This window comes from Homo sapiens, chromosome 2 (genome assembly GCF_000001405.40).
Source record: "Homo sapiens chromosome 2, GRCh38.p14 Primary Assembly".
Taxonomy (NCBI): Eukaryota; Metazoa; Chordata; class Mammalia; order Primates; family Hominidae; genus Homo; species Homo sapiens.
The window spans coordinates 185,719,642-185,746,947 of NC_000002.12; the positions used below are offsets into that span (position 1 = coordinate 185,719,642).

At 35.2% G+C, this 27,306-nt stretch overlaps 1 protein-coding gene and 1 long non-coding RNA gene across 10 annotated transcripts in view, besides 1 other annotated feature; one reads left to right on the forward strand and one right to left on the reverse strand.

Annotated features, from left to right (window-relative positions):
- Window positions 1-232: 232 nt before the first annotated feature.
- FSIP2-AS2 (FSIP2 antisense RNA 2) lies at window positions 233-20,836 on the reverse strand. 4 transcript variants are annotated; one of them, NR_110214.1, is made up of 4 exons: window positions 19,266-19,452; window positions 16,421-16,496; window positions 9,688-9,796; window positions 233-1,079 (listed from the first exon to the last, which is right to left on the reverse strand). It is a non-coding gene; the product is annotated as an FSIP2 antisense RNA 2 (long non-coding RNA). The 4 variants fall into 4 exon arrangements; NR_110215.1 differs by lacking the exon at window positions 19,266-19,452 and adding an exon at window positions 18,929-19,078 and having other exon boundaries at window positions 16,421-16,491; NR_110216.1 differs by lacking the exon at window positions 19,266-19,452 and adding an exon at window positions 18,929-19,078.
- FSIP2 (fibrous sheath interacting protein 2) overlaps window positions 17,493-27,306 on the forward strand; it is a 96,157-nt gene continuing 86,343 nt past the window's right edge. For 5 of the 6 annotated variants that reach the window (XM_047444329.1, XM_047444331.1, NM_173651.4 and 2 more), the window contains exons 1-6: window positions 19,163-19,352; window positions 19,705-19,830; window positions 23,492-23,653; window positions 24,681-24,770; window positions 25,788-25,927; window positions 27,028-27,169. In XM_047444329.1, coding sequence (XP_047300285.1) covers window positions 19,254-19,352; window positions 19,705-19,830; window positions 23,492-23,653; window positions 24,681-24,770; window positions 25,788-25,927; window positions 27,028-27,169 — 759 coding nt within the window. In that variant the 5' untranslated portion in view covers window positions 19,163-19,253. Of the gene's footprint in view, window positions 17,582-19,162; window positions 19,353-19,704; window positions 19,831-23,491; window positions 23,654-24,680; window positions 24,771-25,787; window positions 25,928-27,027; window positions 27,170-27,306 lie in introns of those variants that run through there. The other variant, XM_047444333.1, reaches the window with a different exon arrangement.
- Window positions 19,295-19,564: a silencer, noted in NCBI's record as "silent region_12166". NCBI's record gives its function as "represses an Ori minimal core promoter by ATAC-STARR-seq in GM12878 lymphoblastoid cells {active_cell/tissue: GM12878}" and the evidence as "EXISTENCE:reporter gene assay evidence [ECO:0000049][PMID:35858748]".

Consider the following 27,306-nt stretch of genomic DNA (forward strand, 5'->3'; position numbering starts at 1 on the left):
GAATAAATATGTCTTAAATTTTTATTCAAATTAATCTTTTATGAATCTTTGTTTAGCCTATGAATCTTTGTTTAGCCTATGATTAAAATCAATTTCAAAATCATATTTCTTGTTTCCATTTTCATATAAAATGGGCTTTATATCTTATGTATTAATGTTGGCACAGCTAATCCAGGTTTTAGAAATAATATACATTATTAAACTTAAATAATAAATAAATCTTAAATTGTGATTCTTTTACAGGTATATTGATTTTATTATATATGTAATTATTTTACAAGTATATCATTTTGATTATATATTTTACAATAGATTAAATGAAAAGAATGCAATTATATTTTCAACTTACTGCATTAGTATTTTAATACAATGAAAATCATATTAAACTTAATACCACAATGGAAAAAGGTCTTTCTGTTTAACAAAACCGAATCTTCCTTATGGTTCTGACTACTTTCATAAAGCTTTTCCCATATCCTCATCTCTTCTGATGATTTCATGACATGTCATTCACTGAGAATTAATTACATGTTATCTCGTGATCTCTCTTTTGTTTGTAGTATTATTTCTGTTTTTCATATAGATATGTCCTGTTCCCCTAAATGAACTTAATATTCTCAGAGAACTTATGTAGTAATTCAAGCTATTCCCACACAGGAACACATAAGAGACATACACATGTGATCTGTTGACTGCATATAAAAATGAAATATATCTCTGTTTAAAAACATAAAATACCTCTTCTAATATCATTTTAAGTGTTTAAATAAATTTTCAGCATTTAAATTTAAATTCAGCATTTAAATTAAAGTTGAATGTAAAAATGTCAACTTTTACATTGACAACCAAAAATTACGTTTTGTCAATGTAAAAGTTGAATTGATAGTAGGCTAAAACAAAGGTTTTATATGAAAGCCAGCCAATGTCAGATGAGGCATGTCACAGGGAAGAGAGCCAATATGTTATTTCTGGGAGAAAAGATTCAAGGAAGGCAAGAACTTCCATATTTTAAACCCTGAGATAGATGCTAGTGCTGTTCCGAAGTAGTACAGAAAGCTGAAGGCCCAGTAAATATTTCCCTAAAAAAGAACAGAGTATAAGGTGATTTTAAGGCTGTTGCCTTTTGAATATCTTACAACCTCAATTAATATTACTATTATTATTATTATTTCAAATGCGGGTCTTGTCATGTTGCTGAGGCTGGACTAAAACTCCTGGGCTCAAGGGATCCTCCTGTCTCAGCCTCCTGGATTGCTGGGACTACAGGCGCGTGCCACCATGCTCAGCCAAACTCAATTTTTATTTCCTGCTTCAGTGCTCATCACAAAAATTAATGATAATTCACAGCAAGTGGTACATAAAATTATACATAGTCATGCACCACATGATGATGTTTTCACTAATAATAAACTACATATATGATGGTAGCCCTATAAGATTATAATGAAGCTAAAAAAATCCTATCACCTAGTGATGCGGTAACCATCCTAAGTCATATCGCAACTCATTACTCACGTGTTTTTGGTAGTGCCGGTGTAAATGAACCTATTGTACTGCCAATCGAATAAAAGCATAGTACATACAATTATGTACAGTACATAATACTTCTCAATGATAATTAATAACTATGTTACTGGTTTCTGTATTTACTATGCTATAATTTTATCATTATTTAAAAGTGTACTCCTTGAACTATAAAAGAAAGGTGTTAACTGCAAAACATTCTCAAACAGTTCTTTCATGAGGTGTTCTAGAAGAAGGCATTATTATACTAGGAGATGACAGCTTCATGTGTGATTGCCCTTAAAGACCTTCCAGTGGGACAAGATATGGAGGTGGAAGACAGTGATATTGATGATCCTGATCCTGAGCAGTCCTAGGCTAACATGCGTGTTTGTGTCTTGGTTTTTAACACAAAAGTTTTATAAAAAAAAAAAATTAAAATGTTAAATATAGAAAAAAGCTTATAGAATAAGGACATAAAGCAAATGTTTTTGTACAGCTGTACAATGTGTTTGGGTTTTAAGCTGTGTTATTAGAAAAAAGTCAAGAAGTTTAAAAAGTTTTCAGTGATTTAAAATCTGTTTTATATGATATAAGGACTTCTGCTCTTCTTTGTTTCCCATTCAAATATAATTATATAATACATATGGAGAGCTATGCTTTTCCACCCACACAAAAACCTTGTTGATTCTCTAGAATATGTAAAAATAGCACATTAAATTCTGAACTATAAATATATTTAGTGCTAAGTATACATGACTTGCTTGTTTTTGAAAGTGCTGAGATGTTTAAATTCAGATATTATAAAATACAGATGTGTTATAAAAACCCTCACAGACTATAAGTTTTAATAAAAATATTAAATTTTTTCCTCATTATTGCTCATATCTTCTCATCCTCTCAAATTTGTGAGGGGAATCCCAGCATCCTTGAAGAGCTCTGTAGTCACTCTTTGCTGTAGGTCAGAAATTACAATGGTAACTGCTGCAATAAAACAGGAATCTCTAAATGCAATGAGGATAATAGGATCCTAAGTGGCGTGGTGCAAGTGGTGGCACTTAATTACTAAACACAAGGCAAGCATGATTACTGTAACAGACAGGAGATGCAAAACTGTGATCAGAATAGATTGACTCACAGAGATGTATGGTGTTGGCTAGTTAACCATTGGCTTCCCTAGAAAAAAATATAGATGGCAGTCTCTTAAATTCTTTTTTGATCGTGTAAATGAGAAGTTCTGGATCTACCGAACAGAAATATAACCTGTCACCAAAACAGACTCATGGCCCCTTAATTGTTTCCATTCTTGAGCAGTTTACATACCAAGAATCTCTTGATTGAAAAGGAGGCTGGGTCCCCTTGAGGCTGGGTCATATTGAGGAAGGACATAATTTTAGTATATATATTTTTTTATTTAAATAGCTTTTGAGGTACAAGTGGGTCTTAGTTACATGGATGAATTGTATAGTGATGAAGTCTAAGATTTTAGTGCAGTTTTAATGTGGTTTTTTCCAAAACTCCCACCCTCCCTACTTCTAAGTCTCCAATATCCATTGTACCACTCCACATGCCTTTGCATACCCAAAGCTTAGCTCCCACTTATAAGTGAGAACATACAGTATTTGGTTTTCCATTCCCTAGTTACTCCACTTAGGATAATGGCCTCCAGCTCTATCCAAATTGTGCAATAGATATTATTTTATTATTTTTTATGGTTGAGTAGTATCCCGTATTACACACATATATATAATATATATATTATATATATATATATAAAATGTATATATCGCATCTTCTTTATCCATTTATCAGCTGTTGGACACTTAGGTTGGTCCCATATGTTTGCAATTCTGAACTGGGCTGTAATAAATATATGTGTGCAGGTGTTTTTTTGATATAATGATGACTTTTTCTTTGGGTAGATACCCAGTAGTAGGATTGCTGGATCGAATGGTAGATCTACTTTTATTTCTTTATAAATATTCATACTGTTTTTCATAGAAGTTGTACTACTTTACATTCTCAGCATTGTATAAGCAGTCCCTTTTCACCACATCCATGCCAACATCTAATTTTTTTTTACTTTTTAATCATGGCCATTTTGGCTGCGTTAAGGTGGTATCTCATTGTGGTTTTAAGTTGCATTAGAGAAAGACATAATTTAATGAAGAAGATGCTAGATCCCTTAAAGAAGGACGTAATTATTTTCACATAATTAAGTACCTGCAAAAATAATGGTTACAGTGATTATCAAGGTTATGCAAAGTAAAACATGATAAATTTAAAATGAAAGCAAATCTAAAACATGTTCACAATATTAAACCTATTAGAGAATAATAAGATCATATTTGAAATGAGGCACCTTTGTAAATCAGGACAGATGGAATAATTTAATCCGTGAATTACAAACATTATCTGAATTTTCTCACTTAAATAAAACATTATATTTTGTATCTTCAAAATCACAGCAAGAAACAATAGTTCTGATAGTTCTGATGGTCTTTTATATTTGGCTAGAATTTTGAAAAATTACTCTGTTTTCAGTATGCAATTCCTGAGCCAAAATGAAAATATTATGAGCACCTTCTATGAGTCAGTAGCTGAAAATAACTTCACTACTTTTTGTATAAAGATCTGAAATAAATTTAAAAGAAATATTTATAAGTCAACTAAGACCCTTAACACAGTTAACCAAGAGGAGATAGACACCTAGTGAAACTTAGTAAATATGACATAAAATAATTACAGTAAGTAACATACAACATATTTATGTTAAGTGAAAATGGGTTAATTTGTTACATATAAAAAAAAATTTCAAATCACCCACAAAACAAAACCCAACAGTTTTCTGTATGTAAGAAACACATCTAAAACAAAGTGATTAAGAAGGATTTAAAATAGAGAAATAGGGAATAATGTGACAAACATACACAAATATAATATAATAGAAGTCAGTTACTCATATCAGACAAGGGAGAATTCAGAAAGAAAAGCCACAAATAAGGGAGGGAAGAATGGAAAGTTTTTTGTTTGTTTATGAAGTTTTCTTCTGTAGAATGCCTCCAAAGGTCTTTATTATTCCCACCTTCATTACTTTTGAAACCATACTAAAGATAAAGCTTTTCTCAAACTGTTCGCTAATTAGGTGAAAAAATTCAACCAAATAACACCAACAAAAACCGATAACTTGATAAGCAGTTTCCTAAAATAACACTGTGATCCCCTGCAATGTTAATATGAACAACCAGCTGGCAGAAGATGATAAGGATGCAATAATATTTTTAATTGGTGCTTGTTCTGGATACATATTAGAATAGTTATAACACCAACTACATGAACAATTATTCCAACGTTAACAAAAAAAATTATCTTAATTCATTATAATAAGGATAAAAAGTAAAATTATATAACCACAATTAGAGGCATCCTATTTAAATGAATATTTATTCTTTAAAATTGGAGAACAGTTTCTTTTTTGTGGTTATTGCACATAATGTAACAAATGTGTTTGCTTAAAAAATAATCTAAACTCAATGCCAGTTTCAGTTTACTAAATAGAACAGATCCAAAGTTACATGCTTGGACAGTTAGCATTATATTTTCATAGCTGTATGATTTGATGGAAAACTGATAGAAGACTTGAGTTTTAATATTAAATCTCCCACTAATCTAATTTATAATTTTAGAAGATAATTTCATTTTACTGAGCCCCTGTATTATTACTTATAAAATAAAAATGTTCAATTGAGTGATGTTCAATAGTAATTTCTGTTCTAATATTTTGAAGGGTTTTCACATTTTATAATATTTTATTGAAATATAAATACTCGTAATCAATCATCTTGTGTCACTTTCAAACTTTCCCTCCTTAAACTCATAATACACACATGACATATTTATATAAGCAAAGTATGTAAATTATATATCTATAATGAAAATAAATTTGCATAAGTTAATACTCTTACTAAATCTGAAAGACCCTATTCTGTTCTTTTCTCATTTGCTTTACTTTAAAAAATATTACCCTTGGCATAAGCTTCTCTTCTGCTGATCCTGCCCATTGCCTCCTCACAACATATTTCTCTACTTTCTCTAGCAAATCTGCCTTTCTTTATCTAAAAAAAAAAAATTACACTTGACTCACTCAGTTAATATCACAAATTCCTAACAGTTTGAGATCCTCCGTTTAACAAAATAACTTTCTCTTCATGAAGATCTGTAATCCCTATACTATGATTAATTTGTGGATACTGACAGATTTTATAAGCATCTGTGCTTGAAGGCTGAACAATCACAAAATCTTCTGTAAAGTATGTAACAAAGTTATTACTACAAATTTATGATGTACATACCATTAAGTAGATAAATGAATGAGAGAAGTAGATCAATAGCAAGCCTTAACACATTTTTACTATTCTATAGCTCATGTTCTTAACATTGAACATGAAAACAGCAATTTAGAAGCTAAAAATGTGGGATGTTATCTAAAAGAGGGCAGTGTCAATTAGAAGAATCAATGCTCATAAATGAATGCCCTCCTTCCCCCACAAAAAAAGGAAGAAAGGAAGAAAAGAAAACTGGAGATACCCTACTGTAAATACATGGGCAATGTCCATTTAAACAGTGACCCCAAAATAAATAATCAATGTGTTTACTCATTTGCTGAAGTGGCATTTATTGAATACCTACTAATGAGTCCTTTCTACTTAATAGTAATTAGTGGGCACTGTTCTAGTTATTGAAGAATGCACTAACAAGAAAGATTAAAATCTTCTTTAAAGATTTTTCATATTGTTGTGATGAGCCAGATAAAACAAGACAGAGAAGTACAACAATACACCAAATTTCATCTTCAGTTAAAAGGGGCACTGAATGCCTACTGACAATTCATATATGCAGGATTTCACCTAAATAGAGTATTTGTTAGCCAAATAATAAAAGTCTCTAAGTTTCAGAACTATTTATTGAAATATTATATTGGCGGGATCAGTGTTTCTGGAATCTCCAAGACCACCCACACCTCTGGTGATTCCTAGGACACATGGAACTCCATATAAAGTTGTATTCACTTCTAAGATTTATTACAGCATAAGAATACACAACAGGATCAGCAAAGGAAGGAGTCTGGAGAAATCCATACACAGTCTTAGAATGTTCTCCCCCTCCTCTTAGAAGACCACCTAGCATGCTCCTTTCATTGGCGGTGAAAAGTGCAGTAAAATGTATGCAATGTGTCTTCCACAAAGCCCATTAGACACTCAGAGCCTTTATTAGTTTCCTAGGGTTGCCATAACAAATTGCTGCATGGTGGATGGTTTACACATCAAAAACTTATTTTCTCACAATTTTGGAGGCTATCAAACTGAAATTAAGGTGTTGGCAGGTTTTCCCTATGTGTACGTCTGTCCTAATCTCCCCTTGTTGTAACAACACCAGTCATATTGGATTAGAGCCCACCCTCATGACCTCATTTTAACTTAATTGCCATTTAAAAGTCCCTATCTACAAATACTGTCATATCCTGAGGTACTTGGCATTACAATTTCAACATATAAAATTTGGGGGACATAATTCATCCCATAACAGAGTCAAGGGTTTTTATGGGGGCTGATCTTGTAAGCACGTGCTTCTAGCACATATCAAAATACCAAACTCCTAGAAAGAAGGCAGGCATTCAGCATAAACCGCATTGTTTTCACAAACCATACAGGGACAATGAACTAGTGTTATCAGTTTGTGAATGGTTTGATTGCCAAATTCCCAGGTGCCAGCCAAGTGTGAACCCTGCAAGTAGGTTTTTCTTTTTCTTCTTCTTATTATTATACATTAAGTTCTGGGATACATGTGCAGAACGTGCAGGTTTGTTACATAGGTATACATGTGCCATGGTGGTTTGCTGCACATATCAACCTGTCATCTAGGTTTTAAGCCTTGCATGCATTAGGTATTTGTCCTAATGCTCTCCCTCCCCTTGCCCCCAACCTCTGACAAGCCCCAGTGTGTGATGCTCCCCTCCCTGTGTCCATGTGTTCTCATTGTTCAACTCCCGCTTATGAGTGAGAACATGCGGTGTTTGGTTTTCTGTTACTGTGTTAGTTTGCTGAGACACATACACACGTATGTTTGTTGCAGCACTATTTACAATAGCAAAGACTTGCAACCAACCCAAATTCCCATCAATGATAGACTGGATAAGGAAAATGTGGCACATATACACCATGGAATGCTATGCAGCCATAAAAAAGAATGATTTCATGTCCTTTGTAGGGACATGGATGCAGCAAGTAGGTTTTTCTGAAAAATAGTGGTGTCCGGCCTACTGGGTTAAATCTCTTGTGCATAGTTAAGCTGACAAGTACAAACTTGTTTTCAATTTGTGGTACATTTTTATACCAAATATTATATATAATATATATATAATGTGTATTGTGATTTTTAAACTTTGTTTGATTTGTAAAAGATTCAAAAACTATAAAATTTTACAGTTGAGTCCATAATAAGTAACGTGGTCCATTTTACTCACTACTTTTGGCCTTTTTACTCATCACCTAAACCTATATTTTTAAAAATAACTGAGGCCGGGCGCGGCTCACGCCTGTAATCCCAGCACTTTGGGAGGCCAAGGTGGGTGGATCACAAGGTCAGGAGATCGAGACCACCCTGGGTAACACGGTGAAACCCCGTGTCTACTAAAAATACAAAAATTAGCCGGGTGCCGTGGCAGGCGCCTGTAATCTCAGCTACTCGGAAGGCTGAGGCAGGAGAATTGCCAGAAGCCAGGCAGCAGAGGTTGCAGTGAGCCAAGATCGCACCATTGCACTGCAGCCTGGGCAACAGAGCGAGACTCATCTCAAAAACAACAACAACAACAACAAAAACTGAAAATTATCTATGGACTTTGCTTAAAGGTGACAAAGTACAAGTTTCTTTAATAAAAAATGGAGAGTAAAAATTGGGGGAAAGGAGAGAGGAATCTCTGTTATCTCTGAAACAAAAGAAAATTATATATAGAGAAAAAATCGTTTTAGCCATTAGGTGAGACCACAATCTATGAAAAGGGTCTATCTAGTATAGAAAGAGAACACTAATTGCAGGCATATAGCTTCTCAGATGTCCATTTCCGGGAGGATAAATTATTGTAACTGCTTTGAGGAAAGCATGGCAATACCTCTAAGGAAAAAAACCAGTAGAAATGGGTATACCTTTTAATCCAGCAATCTATCTAAAAGGATGCTTATTGTAGAATATTTGTAATGTAAAAAATTGAACATTCATAAATAGAAGACTAGCTGAATAAATTTTGGTAATTACAGCATTAAATACCACATCCATATGGTTAAAAACTAAATTAAATCCTAGTGTGCTTACATGTAATGATCTTCAAAATACATTGCTCAGTTAAAAATGTACCAAGTGGAACTCTGAAAACTTAATATTTTATAAGATATTTTTGCATGTGTAAAATAATACACAAACTAATGTTTTTGCTTCTGGGTTGAGAGTATCAGAATCTAGAATGAAAGAGTGAATTATTTTTCTTTTTACTGTGTAGATTTTTGCCCACATGTGTATTATTTTACTAATATAGAATGTGCCTTTTGTGCCCCCAAGGGCTACTAAAATGATTAAACCAACTGATAGAACGATGAAGTTTAAGAAAAGCTATCATACAAATCAATACTTCTTGGAATTTAAAATAACAGAAAGGATCAGACTGATAATTCAGACTTATGCACTCAGAGATCTTATCCAGTATCAAGTTTTACTAACAATTTCAAAGTCACATGGAATCATGAGGCACAGGTAAGGAAAGGTGAGGTCAGAATGTCTGTGTTTATTTCAGTTCTCTAAGTCCTATCACACAATATCAAAGACATTTCTGGCCCAAGTGAACAGATAAGCTTTCTATGAGGTATGCAGGCACCTCACTTTCATGAAAGGAGACAGATATTTTCTACAGAAAGAGTTACATATATAATATAACATTTTCCAAGGAGCCATTATGCGTAAGTCCATATACTTCTGTTTGCTTACTATAAATAATTCTAGACAATTAAGCACATTCTACTAAAACTTCACATAGGAAAAGACTCTTTTGTTAGCAGAAGACCTTTATTGTTATTGTTGTTGTTTTACTGGGAGATTTATCATTAGTATGTTTATAAGAGGATTAGTTCAACTCACTTGCTTTCTTTATATTCCAGGAGCAGCTCAGGGAAGGGAGAGAATGTATTGCAGAAATGCAACTTAACTTTTTCCTTTCCAGATGGCATGGGTGAGTTTCACAGACATGCTGAAAATATAATTACATGATATAATCAAATATATTTACACTAGAATTTACACTAGAATAAGAAATTAGTAATTAGTATTTCATATACAATGTAGTTTATGTAATTCTTTGTTCATCACAGAAGATTGCTAAAATAGATGAAAATAATGATAAATTTTGATAATAAATTGGCAAATGGAATCAGTGGATTATTGAAGTGCATAAAATAGTTTAATGATTATATCTTTAACATGTGATATAGAATCAAGAAAAGAAATTGTTATATCAACCCTTTCATAACTTGCCCCTCATGCCTCTGCCAGGCTTTGTCAGGGTCATCGTGCAGAGTATGGATGATGAAGCTCTGCCCATGTGATGGTTTTAACGTTGGTTTTCTGTTATTTTTTATAATTATATGCTGGTGAAATCCAACATGAGAAGCAAACATATACATAGTTTTCAAGATTTAAGGTGTAAGAAATAATTTTACTTTAAAAAATCATGAGGAGAAAGGAGAACTGTTTGTTGGTTAAGAACGATCCCTTGTAACACAGCCCATTTCAAAGCTTTATGATAACAGGCAAATTATTTAATTTCTTCCAACCCAAAGTTCCTCTTTGAAAAATAGAGATTGTAATAACTGTCTCACAGTGTTAATGAAAGGATCACATACTTTGTCAGCTGACTGCAACAATGAATGATACATTGTAAAGATAGTTATCCCTTGCTATAAAATGAATTGTTCTAAAACCTAGCCACTCAAAACAGCAAACATTTAGTATCTCACAGTTTTTGCATCTCAGGAGTCTGGGCATAGCCTAGCTGTGTGCATCTGGCTCAAAGTGTCTTACAAGGCTGTGAACAAACTGTTGGCCAGGGCTGAGGTCTCATCTGAAGGCTGAACTAAGAGAGGATTTGATTCCTAGCCCCATCACATGAAGGTAGGCAGAATTCACTTCCTCAAAGGCTGCTGGACAAAGGACTCATGTTCATCCCTGGTTGTAGGCTAGAGGCCTGTCCCAGTTCCTTGCCATATGGACTTCTCCTTAGATAGCTTATAACCTGGCAGCTGGCTTCATTTATAGTAAGTAAATGAGAGAGTAGAATAAGGTGGGCAAGATGAAAGCAACATTTTGAAAGTCATCACCTTTGCCATATTATATTTGTTAGAAGCTAGTCACTAGGTCCAGTTCCCTTTTAAATGTTTGAGGTTACATAAGAGTATAAATATCACAAGGCAGGGATAATTTGAAACCGCTTTAAAGGCTTCTTAACTACAGTAGACTTATTGAGGAATAAGTGGGAGATATTATTATTTGTATTAACATAGTTTTACTGGAAATTGATTATATAACAGTAAATTGCTTACTCTTCACTTATATATAAAGTTAATAAGCAGGAAGACTTGTTTTATAATAATTTTGGATATGTGACAAATTTTAAAAACAAACTGCAGCCATTTGATTAATAAAACAAAAATACTCATTTTGCTGGATAATATTTTCTAGCTATTTTTCAAACTTTTTCCCCCAAACACCTAACATATGTAACAGTGGCTGAGATTGTAAGAGCAATTTATTCCAATAATTAAAATGAAAAAAAGCTATAAAAAACAGAAAGTCCAGCCCCTCAATGTCTTTCTGTGATTTTAAGCTAGATAACATGGTACAATGATCAGGACTACATAGAGATGGGGCAGACTGATCACTATAAATCATTGTCTGTATTGATGCTGCCCAATCAATGATATCATAAGATATGATAATTTTAGAGATGAGAAAAAAAGCAAAGAGTTGAAATAAATAGGGTTTAAACACGGGCAATCTTACACCTGAGTCTGTGCTATTAAAATTGCACTATATATTCTTAATGTCTCTTACTACCAAGAAATTTTCTCCACTTATGATGTGGTATATGTCTCATTACCTTACATTTTAAGCTTAAACTAAAAATGTATTTAGCATGACTTTATTTTATATTTCACTTGTGTGTGTGTGTGTGTATGTGTGTGCATAGAGAGACAGAAGAGACAGAGAGAGAGAGAATAGATGAGTAAGTTTTCCAACCAATATTTAATCTGGGCCCTTTATTTAAGGTCTGAACTATTTAACAGGTCAGAAATCTGTGTTAAGTATCAGTTTTTCAACACCACTAAGATAAATATATTACAAAGCAATGCAAAGTATAATGCAAAGTACTTTAAAGACTGAGATGTTGGCAAAGATATATACCTCATATTATCAAAAGGTACTGTGTGGTTCCTAACTATATTTTTAATGTAAGTTTTCATTTTCTCTTTCTTAACAGTGATAATTATTTGAAAAATACATAAAACATCATCAAAGAAGTTATTTTCCAAAAATAAAAAAAAAATAAGTACTCTTAGTGAATCAATTAAACGAGGCTTGGTGGTTTCATTCCATCTGCTCTTCTGCAGATTCTGGAATCCTTTAGAAACTGACATACATCATGAAGATTCTGATATCTATATTTTTGTTGTTACTAGACAGACTCTTGAGCCCTCTGTCAAATTGATATCCTTAACAAAGTATTTAATGACATGCCAATATACCAGTCTTACCTCATCAGCAAGATGTTCTCTCACCCTTTGTCCTTAGTTAAATGGGTACTCATAAAATTCATGTCCACTCAGAACCTCAAAATGTGAAGTTATTTGGAAATAGACTATTTACATATGTAATCTGGCCAAAATAAGGCCATATTGGATTAATATGAGCTCTAATCCTATGATTGGTATCCCTGTAAGAGATGATAAATGTGGACACATGGACACACACACAGAGAAGCAGCCATGTGAAGACAGAAGCGGAGATTGGAGTGATATAAGAAATGCCAAGGATTGCCAGCAATCACCAAAAGCAGGGAAGAAATAAGAAAAGATTCTTCAAGAGAGCCTTCAGAGAGACCATGGCCTTGTCAATACCTGGATTTTGGACTTCTAATCTCCAGAACTGTGAGGGAATAAATTTCAGTTATTTTCAGATACCCAGCTTGTGGTACTTTGTTACAGGAGCTCTAAGAAACTCATACACTCTTCTAATGTGGTGTTTACCTTTCTGTGTGGAATTTATGTTAATATGCCCTTTACTATATCTGCATATACCAACTTGATAGCATTGAACCTTAATCTAGTTAACATTCAGCCTTAATTACTATAGATTTATATATCTATTCTTCTTTTCCTGTTTATTTCTCAGGCTTTTTTTAGATTTCACATTGTAATCATTACTGTACATTTCTGGAAAAAATCCTTTAAAATCTTTGAAACTTTCTGTCATTTTAGAATGTTAATGTCAATTCCTCAAGTTTCTTAGTTTCAGTCTATTGTATTATGAGTAATTCTATTACATTACAATATACTAGCTACTTTTACTAGCAATTTTAGATATGCTTTATGGGCAGGCTACCTTTTTAACTGTTAAATGAATTATGATCACTGCAATGTATTATCAAAACATTTTATTATGTCTACTTTCTGATGAATTTATTAATATTAATTATTTTAAACTATCAGATTAAATTATTGAAGCTGGACAATATAAGATAAAGTAGACAAGACAAGTAATTTTCAACAAAAGTTTACTTTTTATTTTTAATTTAAAAATACCTTGCTTAGAAAAAAAGAGATAAGGTTATTGTGAGATATCAGTCAACCAAATATTAATTAAAAGGTGGCATTATTAAGAATATATGTCAAATATTAGATGAAAGCAAAAATAATCAAATGAACTCTTACATATTCAAGAAATTAAGGAAGTATATATAACTACATACAAATTAAAATAAATAGAAAAGTTTATGGCTAGATTGAATCCACGTAAGAGTTCATTAATTAACTATTGTGTTTTAAAGAGTATAACTTAAATTGGAATGCTTTTTCTAAACTAAAACGATCATTTCTATTTTTTAGATTCAGAAATTAGCTCAGCTTAATGAAATAGACAAAAAATGGGGATCTGTGATGTTTAATTCTACATATCATTGTGGCTGAGATCCAGCACCCAGATATTTGGTCTAACATTTGGAATGTTTCTACGAGGGTGTTTTCTGGATGAGATTAACGTTTAAAACAGTGGGCATTGAGTCAAGTAGATTGCCCTCCATAATATGAGTGGGTCTCATCCAATCAGTTGCAGGGCTTAACATAACAAGTACTAATTTCCCCCAACCAAGAAATTCTGCCAACAGACTGCCTTTGGATTCAAACAGCAACTCTTTCTCAGCTTGCTGGGCTACTGGCATATGTAGATAGCTCTCTGTATATATATAGAGGAAGATACACACACACACTAACACACATAAACACATATCCCCTGTTGGTTCTGTTTTGCTTGAAAATCCTGACCAACACAGGATCCTAAAGATCTTGTATTTTATTTCTCAATTTGACATAAGGAGGTGGTAAAACCCAAACATTTAAATATTCTGCTTATATAGTTACATTAAGAAATGATAAATAAAAATGAAGAAAACCTGCGAGTATAGTGATTATTATATAAGCTAGGGCTTTGGGTTGCAAATAATAGAAAACCAGCCTGGCTAACCTAGACAGAAAAGATTTGAGAAAGCTCAGAGAATATGTAAGAAAGTCTGAAATAATCCAAGTTGAGGAAAATGGAAACACAATATAAAACCACAGATGTCATTGGATTAAAATATTGTTGCTTGTGCTGTGACCAGACATTAACCCTGACTTCATGGTCCTTAGCCTACAAGAATCTTTGAATTAATTCCTTTTCAGAATACAAAGTCACATGCCCTTGACCCTCCTCCAAGGCATGCCAAATGAAAATATGTGACCCGTCTTAATTTCAGTAAAAAGTGGGATTGAACATCTACCAACATTCATATATGCGGGATTTTCCCCAAATAAAGTAATTGTTGTCTAAAGAATTAAAAACTCTACATCGATTATCACAAGTAAAATTGAGTTGTATTTCCTCTTAAGACAGAGTAACATGGAGAAGATATGCCCTGAAACAGCTAAAAAATAAACAGAATATAGGAAGCAACAATTTTCAAGACACTAGATCAGGGAATGGTCAATGATCTCTGAAAAACAATAAACAAAAGAGGCGAGGCATATTGATAAAACTTGAAAGAACTTTCAAACCACAGCAGAGGGAAGGAGAATCCAGATGGATCCCATCTGACTCCCTGAGTTCAGAAGACAGAACCCAGAGCCCAGGAAGGCAGATAGAGCTAGAGCATGCAAAAGAAAAGTAGAAAGAGGACAGCTGCATGGAACGAGAACTTTCAAGATGTGCAGAGAATTATCTTTGAGTATTTCCTGCATATTTGTCAGAATACTGTGAGAAAACTACCATATGCCATGGAAAATATTCACTCAAAAGAGATAGTGCTGGGCTTTCACAAACAGCTGTAAACATTACCTGTTCCCACCAGCTAGGTTGGAAAAGTTTCTGATGGATGAGTCACTGGGTAGAGTTTGGAGAATAAAGCAATAATTAACCCTAAACTGAGGTGTCTTCTGATCTTCTCTAATAGATCTCAAAAGTAAGACTCAGAAGGAGAAAATTTTATCCTATAACTTTAGAAGGAGCTGATTCCAGCTATTAGTCTTCAAGTCTGCCAGCTGAAGTTCCAAACATCATAGAACAGAGACCAACTGTCTCCTCTGTGCCTCATCTGAATCTCCAAACCCAAAGAGAAACCACTAGACACAATAAGCAATTAATGTTGCTTTAAGCCTAAGGTTTTGGATAAATTGCTTTTTCATACATAGATTATTAACCCAACTTGTTTTTTAGTTCATAGGTCTTTGAATTCATACAGGCAGTATTCAAATAGCTGTACATGGACATAATTATAGATTACAAAACACTAAATTTTTAAGCCTAATCACATTACTGAATGAGACTCTTGGTAGTCTTAGGAGAGGTAAGTGTGTTTTGAATATAGAAGGAATGTGAATCATTTGACTAGAGAGTGATCTTTGGCAGATTTCTGAGGCAATGAGCCCTATGGATGGGAGCCTTAGTGTATCTGTATCTTTATGTAGTTAGTTTCCTTCCATGCCAGACAATAACAAATGTGATGCGAGCAAATACTTGAGAAGCACATGAGCACATTAATGTTTACTCCCTCTTGATGCTGGAAGTCTTGAGACTAAAATGTAAAACCATATTGCCTAACCTCCTGGAGAATGAAAAAGAATACATATAGACAATGATCCAGCCATCTCAATCATTCTAGTTTATTTGTTTGTTTTTGTCTGAGAGCCCAGACATGTGAGTGAAGCCATCCTAGATGATCTAGCCCTAGCTAAGCAAGTGCAAACCAAGACAACACCAGCAAACCCAGAGAACTGTGAGGAGTAATAAATCATTGTTTAAAGTCACTAAATTTTGGAAATGGTTTGTTATGTAGAAAAGGACAATAAATAAAGTCTCCGAAAAGACCCCAATGTTCATAAAACTTCAGACACATACTCCTCTAACTTTTCCGAGAATACAACAAATTCTCCTTTACATATAAATGTCATAGATATTTTATCTACACTGTAGACTTCTTCTTTTCCATTTGCTTTCCTTATAAATAGAACTCACCTATTTGATGTGGATTTTTCTTTTTTTTTTTGAGAATTCATTTTTTCTGGCTTACCTATTTCCTCTGGAAATTCAAGCTTGTCATCCACCACTGTCAGCTTCTCACAGCAATGATTCCCTCCAACTCTGTTCTTTTAAAAGTAGGTGAGATGAGGAAGAGCTCAAAGTTTTGAAAATTTTCTTCTTAAATTTTTCTCAAATCCATTCTCTGCTTGTCTACAAATCATGAAGTTTCCCAGATCTTTATTCTCACCCCCACAAATCCACCTTCCAAATTGTTGCCAGGGTGTTCTTCTAGAATAAGAATTAGCTTAAAATTTTTCAGCGGGTTCTCATTCATGTCTGACTAGATCAGGAAACAAAATTTTACTTAGTGCTCACTAAGTGCTTGCTCAGCACTATGCTAGGTGCTGTGCATACAAGTCGAATAAACCAACCCCTGCTCTAAAAGAATTTACATTCTAGTAAAGGGAGACTGACAGGTAAACAGATATTCTTGCTGTAATGTGAAAAAGTTAAGATGGAGGAAAGCACAAAGGGAGAGAATTTGTCAAAAGCTTAGAAAGACAGAAAGACTTCCCAGAGGTGTAACACTTGAATTGTTTTAAAGGCTGATTGAAATTAGCCAAGCAGTGAATTGAAAGGGGCTGTCAGGCAGAGGGGACAGCATAAACAAAGATGCAGAATCACGCATGAATAAGCAGGCCCCATGTAGAGAACTAACCACAAACAGTTTGGTGTCATTTGAGGTTCAATTCTGAGAGGTGGTACAGGGGAGTTATGTCTCAGAGATGGACAAAAACAGGGCTGTGAGAGGTAGTATAATAGTACCCCAAAGATGTCTATGTCCTCATTTTCAAGACTGAGTATGTGAATATTTCATAGCAAAGAGGAATTAAGATTGCTAATGGAATTAAGGTTGCTAATCAGCTGATCTTAAGATAGATAAATTAGCATGGATAACCTAGATGGGCCCAATGTAATCACAATGATTCTTTAATTGTAGAAGAGAAGGAGCAGAGGTCTGAGTCAGAGAGAGGTTTGAAGATGTTACATTGCCAGATTTAACGTGTGAGGAAGAGGCAACTTCTAGAAGCTGGAAAGGGCAAGAACATAGGTTGTGATCTAGAGCTTCCAGAAAGAACACAGCACTTCCAATACACTGGTTTCTGCCCAGTGAGATTCTCTTTGGATTACTAACCTCCATCACTGTAAGGTAATATATTTGTGGTAATTTAAGCCACTAAGTTTGTGGTGATTTGCTGGCAATAAGAAACTGATACAGAGACCAAGTAACAGAGGCCATTACACACTTTGCGCTGAGGGCAGTTGGGAGTTTAAAGTGAGGAAGAGAAATGGTCAGTTTGCCATCAAAGATCAAATTGATACAAGATGGATTTTTGGGGTAGATGGTGGCAGGGAGATGTTATAAGGCTGTGGCAATGGTGCAAACAAACAAACAAACAAAAAATGATTAGCGGCTTAACCGGGAGAGTAAAGTAGGAGTAGATAGAATCGGGCAAATTAATTTTAGTGATAAAATTAGTGGGACTTGGGGACCAACTAAACATGGGAGATAAGGGGAAAAAGAAGTATCTAGAAGCATTCCTTAGTTTCTGGCTTGGGTAGACTTTGGTATTGTCACTGAGATAGGAAATGCAGGAAGAAGCCTTTGTTTTTTTTTCCTGTTTTGGTGAAAGTTGTGTGTTGAGATTTGAGTAGATTGAATTTAAGACAATTGTGGGATATCCATATGGAAGCTGGCAATAGACTATATCCCAAGCTTAGATTTCAAATTTAAGAGTCCTAAGCACATGTGTGGAATTACAACAAAGAGAGCAGAGTGCACTGATTAAGAAAACAGCCTCAGGAGCCACCATTTAACAGCAATTGTCAGTCTTCCTCAATCTTTGAAAAATAAAGAGTAATTATTGATAAGGCTACTAAAATAAATAAATGTTTAAAAGGGTGTTTGGCACAGTATATGGAAGTTAGTAGATTCTGAAGAAATGGTAACTGTTATTACTAGTCGGGCCAGAAATAAAAGAGAACAGCAGTGGACCAAAGAAAGTATGAAGTTAAGTCTAAACAACAGGTGGGTTAGACACATACTGTCTCTGCCCTCAGAATACTCCCAGTCTAGTTAGCTTCTTACAGTCAGGGGCCATATTTTACTCACGGCTGTGTCCTGCCCAGTGCTTAGCTCAATGACTGGCCCAGAAGCGTCAAGCACTTTATAAATTTCGGCTGGATGGTTGAGGAGAAAGAGGGAAATAGGATCAAGCTGCAGGAGCAGAGAGGAGGCAGTGGGAGAGTGGTAAAGGGCGCTAGAAAGGAGAAGGAAACCTAGGGGACAGAAGAGGCAGGAGGAAGGCAATGAGCCCCTTAGGAAGCCAACGCGTCTGCCTTGTGGACCTGGTGTGGGAAGAAGCTGTGGGAGCCTGGGGATGGGGTGTGGTCTATATGGGGGAAGATGTAGAATGGGCAAAAACAATCACTCGGGAATTTTTATTGAACGGAACAGGGCTCCTTGGAAGCCAGGGGAAATTAACCAGTTACCCACCAACAAAGCTTATACGTTTTCGTTAGGATTGGCTAAGGCGTGATGGTTTCAGAGAAAGATGAAGTTTCAACTGTGGTCCTCTCAGATCAGGCCTCTCGGACCGATTTTCCCAGCTCTGCGGGCGCTCTACGCGCTGGCGCGAGCCGCCCCTCAGGAGGCCACCGCCCTTCTGGGGCCGCTACCATTGGAAGCCTGGAACGCGGGGGGCGGGGCTGAGGTCGTTGGGCTCTGGCCATTCCTGGTCAGGTCCGGACAGAGGGACAACGGGGTGCTAGAGAAGGAGAGCGGGGCGGGTGAGGAAGGGGCTGAGGGGGCTGTGCCGGCCATGGAGCTGTACCTCGGCGCCTGCTCCAAGCCTGCCAAAGTCGCCGTCACCAAGACGGTCGCCAGCGTCCTGGCCGCGGACACCCAGCAGTGCAGAGACGTGAGTGGCCGCAAGCTGGGCGGCGTCGCCCTCTGGCGGCCGCAGGCCTGCTGGGGAGCGGGGCAGGGATCGCCACACACGGGTCGCGAGGCTCCCAACTGTCCCCCGTCAGGAGGCTGCCCTCTTGCGGCGCCCGGGGGCGGTGGCGGTGGCTCGGACTGTACCGGCCGCAACTGGCAGGCGCGGGACGCCAGGAGAGCTGGTGACCAGGGAAAACGGGAGGACTTCAGGATGCCCCGAACCCTGATTGTATAATTCTTCGGAGTCTTTGGTTGCAATGGAAGTAGATTGGTCTAAACTAAACTAATACTGCCTAAAAGGAAAGACAAAACTCTCCAATTGTGTCTGACAGGGCGTGCACAAAACCCACTTTGCAGGGGTTGGACCGGCTCAGCTACTGGACCTACCTCTCGGGGTCAAGCTGCCTGTGATCCCAGGAAGCAATGCTGTATTCTATACTACGAATTTCGGTGAAAAGGTGAACAAGTTTTTATCGTCTTTCTTTCCTTTACCCTTTACTACTTGCTGTTTAACTCAAAGGCTGCATCATACAAAATTCATTAAAGGAATTTGCATCAACATTTACAGGAAAAAGAAAATCCCACATCTGACCGAAGGTATTGTTTAGAATGCATATGAAGCACTTTCATCTTAATGGTTTGGACATAATCATATTCCAGAAAGTTTAGATTCTTAGTCCTTAATTAACAATTCACGGTACCATATTAATATTCCTTATAATAAAACTTCATATATACTTATATAGTAAGATTTGATGTACTTAGAAACATGTTTAGAAGCTGAAAGGTTATTAGTGATAGCTGCCATTTAATGATATGTTACGATTTTAACTGACAGTATCTTGGACCAAACTCTCTTCACGGGAAACATTATTTTGTTTTGAGTTGAATTCTATTTTACACATAAAGAAAAAAAAAAGAACTGAAACAGTGGGACTTAAAATGAGTTAATATGTTTAGTACTTTAACCTTACTTTAATGAAAGAAAGCCCTGCCTCAATGAGGAAGAGACTCCATAATTTGCCCCAGCCTTTCCATCCAGCATTGTCTCCAACCAGAGAGGCTCAGCTTCTTCAAGTTGAGTCTTTCACACCTACCCATAAATACCATGCTAATACTTCAGTATTTTGTCAACTTTGCCCCCAAACCTGGCATACCTTGTCTTCTTCTCCCCAGTCTATGAATCTGAGCTATCAAGATTCTCTGAACTGTGATAGCCCCCCCGTTAGCTTATTTTTGCTTAGAGTTCACGTTGCCCTTGATTTGTGTGATCTCACTTACACAAACCATAGTTAATCATACTGGATTATAGTGTGTACTTCCCTTAAGCCTTTTCATGTTTTTAGTCCTTAACACCACACCTACCCCCAAACCTCCCCAGCCTTTGACTAAGTAGTCAATGCTGAAGGAGGTTTAGTACATTCTTGTTGACTGGTTGCTTTTATCAGTTTTGCAAAAAGTTCTACAAGAAAGAATTCTAAGTGGCCCACTTACCCTTCTAATGTCTATGATGTCATCAGAAATAAATAGAACCCCTTGGTATTTGATACTTGCTTAATGTCTTATACAGTTCAGGCTGTTATAACAATGTACCATAGACTGGGTGGCTTAGAAATAACGTAAATTTATTTATCATTGTTCTGGAGCTGGAAGTCCAAGATCAGGACACCAGCATGGTCAGATTCTCGTGGGGGTCCTTTGAAGTCCTTTCATTATTACCTCCCTGCATGGTAGAAAGAAGGCTGGAGAGTTCCCTGTGGTCTCTATAGGAACATTATCTCCCTTGATGAGGACTCCACCCTCATGACTTAATTATCCCCCAAGGCCCCAGCTCCTAATGCCATCACACTGAAGATTAGGATTGCATATGAATTTTGGGGGCATACAGTCAATCTAACACACTAAATAAACATGATTTCTTAAAACAAGTTTTGTTTCTGAAAAAAAGTATAATTGCTCTTTAAAAAAAACTAATCTGTTCTACTAGATTAGAGCAAGTGAACTACAAATATACCAACTTCACACAACTTGAGTCACATCCACACAAACTAACTTTGCAAAAACGTGCTTGAAATTTATTCCATTACAGGTGATATAATTCCTCTTTAGTGCATAAACTTAGAACTGTGGCTTTTGTCTCCTCCCTTAAATATATTATTTTACTCTATTGCCATTTTCTCTGTCGACCATTAATTCACTTGTCTACTACTTTTCAAAAAGATGTTCTATTTTTTATTACATTAATTCTCCCAAAATTTATTCATTTAATGAAATTAGTCACCATATAATTTCTCAGAAGAATTTTCTCTTTCAGTGTACTCTCCTTCATGAGGTAATGGTTAATAGTCACCTTTTAAGGGCAACCAGTTATTTTAATTGTCAATAGAAAAGTTACTCTGGCTCAAATGGGTGGATTTGTTTAAAAGTGTTCTTAGTTTACAGGTCAGGAGCTCAGGTTTGGTCTTGAGAAACATATGCCTGTCACAGCTAAAAGTTAACATTTTTTAAAAGTTTACAGCTAAATGTCAACATCTGAAAGAAATATTCAATCTACTCCTTGACTTATTATTATTGATCGTTTCCCTTCCAGGAAAGATCTGGGCTTCATATGTGGATTCACTGAATTCAAGACTCTCCCCTTTACGAGTTCTTTCTTTGCCTTCTCAGGAAAGCATTGGTAACCAGGGAATCTAGCTTTCTGATTAGGCTCCTTGGAAGGAATTAAAGTTTAATGTTAAACAAGAGGTCAGAAACTTAAAGAAGCTTTTAAATGCAAAGGAAGAGCTAGTATCTTATTTTGTTCCTCTCATCTACCTTTTACCCATATGCAAAGCATTCTCCTACCTACCTTTCGAGAGTTCTTATTAGGGTCCAACCCAGCCAGACTCCATAGTGTTCAGGAATTGGACTGCAACTGTGGTTACGGCCAGACTGGAAACAGAGGACCCAAATTGGTGCCTCTAGACATGTCGGGATTGGTGCTTAGTGTTGTTGTGGTAGTATAAATTGAATTTCATGCCTGCAAATAGGGCAGGTGCTCTCTGGTTTCCCATATTACCTACATACTCCAATTATCTGTCTCCTGAGCCAGTGCCTGATTTAACATATTTTGAGCTATTATAAAACTTAGTTTTTCTGGCCCAGCAAACTTAAAACAGAAAGAAGAGATGTAAAAACAGCCTTAACACAACTTCCTACTCTTATTCTCTACTTTTTCCATTTCAGAGGTCCCCCAATAAGCCATTATCACCATCTTGCTATTGAAAAACTGAGAACTCACACCAAAAAACTCACTTTGCTAATGTTTTAATTCATGGTGAGATTGAATAACTCAGCTGTTTTCTCTAATGCAGCAGATATAAGAAACATGACTAGAAACTGATTATCTTTTCCTCCTTTTATATGTTAATGGCTGTTGCCTAAAGGTGTATTTGGTCTTCACACAAATAGAAAAACTTCAATTTCTATAAATATTCTTTAAAATTGGTTCTTTAATAAGGTGAACTGCATAATATAGACCTCAGGTATTCTTCTTACTCTAGCACTCAGAGATTGTTGGTTCCTTGCATTAAAAACCTCAAGATGCAATGACTCTTTAACTCAAAATCGTTAACATCTAAGTTTTACTTCTACTATTTGTTAAAGTTATTTTCATAAATTTTGATGAAACATTTTGTTATTTTTGTTCATTTTAAGATGATTGAAATATAATCATAATTACTATTAATCCTTTTATCTTTTGAATAGAATATTTTGATTCGAGAGAGGGAGAAGGAAATGAGAGAATCCTAGCGTTGGCTTTGTACCTTAAAACAAACTATATGCTATTCCCTTTCTTTTCCTCTTCTCTTTTCTTATTTGGCTGAGAGTCAGGGGCTGAAGAGGATTAGAGGAGGAACTGATTGGGTTAAGGTGAGTCTTTGGGATAATTTATGCAGGTGAGGAGAGAGGAAAGGAAAGGCAGGAAAGCATGCCCAACTCCAATTTTTCTGTGGCTGTTTTTCCCCATTTCAGATTCTTTTGGCACATTTTATTTTCAATGAACATTCTAATCATTTTGATAGATTATTTAAAGTGAAAATGCATTAATTTTACATATTTTTGAATCTGTGTTTGCAGCTTTTTCGACCTTCTTATGGTTTTAACCTGACTGATCCCTATTGTCGACTTTTGGAAAACCAATATAAAAGCCTCCATGATCCACATTTAAAAGCATACTATAAGCGCAAAGATATTTTGAAGAGATTAAAGAAAGGTGGCTACATCACCAGCAATAATAAAGTGGGTTGAAAATTACTTCTTTTTTTAATCAATGAAACCCTTTAAAACTTGATATAAACTTGTTTCTGTACCTCACTCGGGGGGCCTGTGTCACTTTTAACTTGGTCATGAGACAATACTTAATAGGCAGTTCTATAAATTTCTCAGTATTTGAATCAAGAGAAATCAGACAACAGTTGTTGCTAAATGAAAGTACTTCTTCCTTCACCTTTTTTCTTTGTAATATAAAAAGATTATTGACAAATAATTTGAGAATACAAAGATATATTATTTTCCCACGTGTATTATAGCCTTCTTTCTCTGTCTTTAATGGCACTGTATACTTGTCAAGAATTATGTTCCATATACTTTTAAAAACTTGAGATGAAACAGAAACTTAGCAAAGTTCAATCTGTCAGAACCTTGATAGAGTATATTCTTATTGGAGTCGAACAATGTTATTACAATTATAATCCAATTACAGCTAATTGAAATTATTACTGTGATAACTAATTGTGTGCACTAAACTCCTTTTATGATATAAGTAATATTAATAAAGTAATATGTATATATTTTTTAGAGACAGGTTCTCACTTTGTTGCCTACACAGGAGTGCAATGGCGCAATCATGGCTCACTGCAGCCTGGACCTCCTGGGCTAAAGCTGTGTTCCTGCATCAGCATCCTGAGTAGCTGGGACTACAGGCACATGCCTCCCAGCTGGTTAATTTTTTTTTTTTAGAGATGGGGTCTTGCTATGTTGCCCAGGCTCATCTCAAACTCCTGGCCTCAAGAGATCCTCCTGCCTCAGCCTAAGTAATGTTTTTGGATAGAAATTTATTGCTGATTAACAAATGCAGAGAGATATTACTTACAAGATTGTTAGCAGTTTATTACTCTTTATGCCAAAATGTCATCAAATTTTATGTCACTGCTATTTTTTATTTTTAAATCAATTTAATGATTTAAAAATATATTTAAAATATTTATATAATATTAACATATCAAACATTTTTAAAATATCCATCTGTTTTCATTTTTGTTTGTAGGTTGTATGTACCTTGAGAGAATTGAATAAGTACAGGCAATATCTTACCAGTTTAAAATTAGACTTTGAGAGAAACTATATAAAAGAACAAGTAAGTTAAATACTTAAATTTGGTTTATTTACATAGAGTTTGGAAGAAATGCTTGATTATATGTAGAGTGTTCTTCTAATAATATTTTGATCCTTTATTATTGACAAAGTAATTGAATATTTTTTCCAAGTGAAAATTTACAGTAGGAATAAACAATATTTTAATTTTGCTATAGTTGGCCAAGAATGGGAAAGGGACTGGGTTATCTATCAACACACCAGTGGTAGCTGGCATAATTCAATAACTAAATTGCTAGTCAGATGTGTTGTTTCCCCCTGAGCTAATGCCAATAACAAACATCTCTTGTGGCAGAAAGATTCTTAAATTGAAACCTAAAACAGTTTGAGCCATAGGAAAAGAACAATAATTATCTGTAGTGTTCTACAGTGATTCAAGAATATGTACACTCTGTGTTTGTACTCATACACGTGCACCTGTAAAAATGTTGTTCTTGAATGTGAACAAAATGTTGTTCTTGAATGTGAAGTAGAATGATTGGGTGTAGAGTGAATGGTTATGGATAGTGACTTCCTTTTGATTTTTGACTTAAAGGTGTGTGTGTGTGGGGTGTGTGTGTGTGTGTGTGTTTGTGTGAATTCAGATTTTAGGGTCAAGAGGTTTGGATCAAAGTGAGAAAGGTATATTTACATGAGTGTTTGCAAATGTATGTCCTAACAATAAAAGGGTTAAATACAAACAAGAAAGACTTTAATATATTTCTAAGTATTCTGTATTTTCCCCACTTCATTCTGTGCCCAGTGTTTCTTCTCTACTTCCTGCATATTTTTATTTAACTTATTTAGAATAGGTAGACAAATAAACTGAAATGTTTACCTTTTATTTTCAGAGATAAATCTTAATTTTGGTTTACTTGTCTGTGTCTTTAATGGATTCAAAATAGATGTAAATGCAATTAAACAGAATTAAGCATTTATAAAATATATAAATTTAAATGGTTTTATTTCTGGGAAATGTAAAAAGCATTATATATATGTAATACACACATTTCTTAAATAGAGAATACTTGCAAAACAACTACATAACATACCGGAAAACAATCAAATCCCTCAACATTGTGATGTTGCACAAGTCCAAAACTGGTTGTTAAAGGAGGGCACTGAATCTATTAAGGACCAGGAGCGGCTGATGAGGCATAGGTAAGATTAAAGTTGAGGCATATTTTATGGGTATGTTGTGGACCCAAATAAGCTGGAAAATACTAGAAAGAATTGAAGACAATTTAAGTACTGGACACCATTCTCCTGGATCCCTCAGAGTGTAGAGGAAGGAAGTGAAACCAAGAGGTGGAAGAATTTTCTACCAGAGGGGTTAGGGTTGCTGGACGCCCAAGGGATAAGCCAAACTGGTTATTGAAAGAAAAATTAGATTCAAAATCTTTCTATATTAGAATATAGAAACAATATATTCAAACAATATATTCAAACAGTAACAGCTTTTTAAGATTCATCTTTAAGAACTGACAGCATTTTTTGAGGAAGTTAGTGCAAAGTCAAAAAAAGTAAGTTTGGAATAACTGATGCCAATATATAAATATGTGCTGTCTATAAAAAAGATTGTAAGCTCATTTAAATATGACTCAGTCATATTCAATCATGGCCATTCCATGGACAAGCCCATTTCTTAGGAAGTAAAGGATGTTATAGTTCTTTTTCCTTCACTAGGGATGCAGTAAGGAATTGGGCTGACTTTTATTACCTGACTTTTATATTCATTCCATGGTTTCATTATATGGTATTATTGCCATAATACATATTGATGTACCAGAGATCCAGACTACAGATGAGAGATTTGTTCAAGGACTTGTAAATTACAAGGAACCCAGTGCCCAGTTTTTCTTAGAGAATTCAAATGGACTGTTTTTTTTTTTCCACATTTGAAGTTACTGTTTCAGTTATTTCAGCCTTTTTTGCAAGGTCATATTCTTAAACCTACTGAGTTATGAATGCTTACTGTGCAAAATGTTTTGAGTAACTTTGCTCTGCTTTTTACCATTATCTTTGCCATTATATCAGATACTTGTGTAGTGGAGAGACCTTATAATAAGTAAAACATGGTGAGCTGGTGGGTTAGGCTGTTTTAAAGGTTTATAAACAGGACTGACAGAAAAACAGTAAAATTCTTGTAGTTCAAGAAATGAAAGGCAAGCAAGGAAGTGGTTTGGGAATGGCATAGCAGATGATGCCATCATAAAAGAAACAGCCAATTCACCTTTAGCAATATTTGCACTCTTACTCAGATATTTGGATATGATAAGTAGAAAACTAGAACAACTTGAACGCACAGCAGAAGAACAACGCCTATTCCTAATGGATAGAGAAGAAAGACGACAGCGGGAACACACAAGAAGAAAACTTACTCTTCGTAGAAAAATAGAAGAGGTGAGAGACAACAACTTTAAAATATTAACAGAAAAATTGTGTACAGTTGTTGCATTTGTAAATAATTTTAACTGTACATTGTGCTGCTTGAAGTCATTTCAGTTCAAAATAATTTGTTACCATTAAATTTTCTTCAT